The sequence below is a fragment of the Homo sapiens genome, chromosome 7, assembly GCF_000001405.40.
Source record: "Homo sapiens chromosome 7, GRCh38.p14 Primary Assembly".
NCBI classification, from domain to species: domain Eukaryota; kingdom Metazoa; phylum Chordata; class Mammalia; order Primates; family Hominidae; genus Homo; species Homo sapiens.
This window is the reverse complement of record NC_000007.14, coordinates 128,530,610-128,533,018: the sequence shown is the minus strand read 5'-3', so window position 1 is coordinate 128,533,018 and position 2,409 is coordinate 128,530,610. Positions and strand designations below refer to the sequence as shown.

The 2,409-nt window shown below is 65.8% G+C and overlaps 2 annotated features.

Annotated features, from left to right (window-relative positions):
• Positions 915-1,034: a silencer, noted in NCBI's record as "silent region_18610". NCBI's record gives its function as "represses an Ori minimal core promoter by ATAC-STARR-seq in GM12878 lymphoblastoid cells {active_cell/tissue: GM12878}" and the evidence as "EXISTENCE:reporter gene assay evidence [ECO:0000049][PMID:35858748]".
• Positions 1,145-1,694: a silencer, noted in NCBI's record as "silent region_18609". NCBI's record gives its function as "represses an Ori minimal core promoter by ATAC-STARR-seq in GM12878 lymphoblastoid cells {active_cell/tissue: GM12878}" and the evidence as "EXISTENCE:reporter gene assay evidence [ECO:0000049][PMID:35858748]".

The following is a 2,409-nucleotide window of genomic DNA, read 5'->3' as shown; positions in this document are numbered from 1 at the left end:
AACAATCCCTTTAAAAAATCTTTTTCTGACCACTCCCTGCATTAGTTTTCTCTTGATTCTGGACATCTGCTTTTAGCCCTTCTTCCAAGCAGGGAGGGGCAGGAGGACACCATTTTTAAACTTCCATAACCAATTAATGCACAGGCTACTTTCAGCAAATATGTCCATCCTTTGCAAGAGACCAACTCCTACACAACCCATTGAAAACCTCTCTTTAATATTAACAGTGGAAAAGAAACATATTACATAGAACCCCTTCGAACACATTATTAAGTAGTTGGAATGGTTGGTGTGATTTTAAAGTTACTGAAAAGATGAATCGAACATTCTCCTCTGCAATCCAACAACTCTACAATCTCCAGTAACAACCCCCTTACAAGTCCTTCAATTTCATTTCCCTTCCTGGATTGAGAGCCTGGGGCAAAGGGGAATGAAAAGGTGACAAATTAAAGTTTCACCCACACATGCAAGTGCAGGTTAGAGAGAGAATTAGGAAATTCTCAGAAAGGCTGAAATGCATCTTCGCAAAAAGAAAAAGAAGGAAAAAAAGAGACTGGGAGAATGAGTTTCCCCCGTGGCCTTCCTTGCGTCTTGCCCTGCCCTAATCGAGGTCGAGGTCGAGGTCGGAATGGCAGAGGCTGCAGTCTCTCCCAAACCCCAAGGTCTCTCGCAACACTTACCAAACCTCCATTCCCCAGGCCCGGCCCGGAAAATGACGCCCCGGCGGTTATTCCGTTTAATGCCAACTCATGTTAAGGAAATAGCCACTCCGTCTAATTCCAGCGGGGCCTTGGACTGGGATCCTCCCTGCAGCCCACAGCCAGGAAGCAGGAGCGATGGGGCCTGGTCCCGGCGCCCCTCGCCGGCTCCAAACTTTCCCCAACTCCAGGCCCACCTGTCACGGAGGAAGGGAGGGCCGGCTCTCGGGGGCGCCCGGGAGGCTGCCGAGGCCTCCAGCTGCCGAGGGGCCCCAGTCTCTCCTCCGGCCGCCGGCCCCAATCCCAGGCCGGGGCCGCCTGGGCCTCCCCCATCTTCTGCCCGGCCCCTCAGCGACCCGCAGCCCTCAGGGAGCCCCTCCCGCCTCAGCGCCCAGGAGCTGCGGTCCGGAGCCGACACCGAGCTGGGCCCAGGTCGCAGGCTCCTCAGGCCAAAAGGGTCCCCGGGACGGTTAATGCCCCAGGCCTGGCGCCCTCCCCCGCCCGGGGCTCAGCCTCTCACCTGCCGCCGCCGCCGCTCCACGCTCCTCCCGGGAGGGGCCCCGACCCGACCCGGCTGCGGGCCGCTCCGCTCTCCCCCTGGGCAGGCCCGGGGCGGAGCCGGGGCCTCCCCTGAGCGCCGCAACCCCCCGCCCGGGCAGCAGCCGCCTGCGCCGGGCTCCACGAAAGGGCGGGCGGGGGAGGGGGGGCACGAAGGCCGCAGATCCCCGGGCTCGCGTACAGAGCCAGGCGCCCGACGCGGGCGCGGGACCGGCCTCCTGGCGCTGGACAAAGGCCAAGGGAGGCGCAGAAGGGCCCAGGCCGGGCCAGGAGGTGGGGGCCCGCTCGGCTGGGGGCCACTCGGGTGCGGCGCGGAGGGCCGGGGTGGGTCGGAACCGCTGGTGCCCAGGACCCGCCTCCGGCCCCTTAATCCGGATCGGTTCGGTCCGGATTAGTACTGATCGGTGTAAACACACTAGTGAAACCGCGTGTTTCCTCGCGAGATTTGCACGGCTGGGAGGCAGGGGGGGTCCTGGGGGGTGGGGGAAGCGCCGACAGTGGGAGAGGAGGGGGAGGGGACGAGGAAAGTGCGGAGTGGGGGGGGTCCCCGCTGCCCCGGCGCCCCGCCTCCTCCAATCAGCGGCCGCGCTGCCGGGCAGGGGTTAACCAGGGCACCCCGCGCCGGCTGAGGAGGCCGCACCTCGCCGGACGGCTGAGGGCGGGCGACGGGCGGCGCCGGCGGACGGGCCGCGACGCCAGGGAAGGTCAGGCGGCCCGGGGCGTCCTGCGACTGCCCGAGGTCGGAGGCCCGGAGGACCCGCCGCCGCCTTTGTGTCACCAGCCCCCGCCCCGCTGGACTGGCCCGGGCCGGGGCGGTTGGGCCGGCGCTGAAGAGGCTTGGCCGCCCGGGTCCACCCGTTCCCGGATCCGCCTCGGCGGCCCCCGCGCCCGCCCAACCCCTGCCCAACCCCTCGGCTCCGCGAGTTTGGGTGAGAAGTGCGGCGGCTTTTCCCAGGGATGGAGTTTAGAGGACGCTAATCCTATGTGCGAGCGGCGGACCCCGCCCGGATTTCCCGGAGGCGCCCGGTTAGTGAGGCGACGGCGCCCACCCGCGTTCGCGGGCTCCCGACCGCCACTCCCCGGAGCCGCCGGCCCGCCCCAGCCCCGCGCGTCGCCCCGGAGGGCGGGCTGCACTCCCTCCACGCACCTGGCT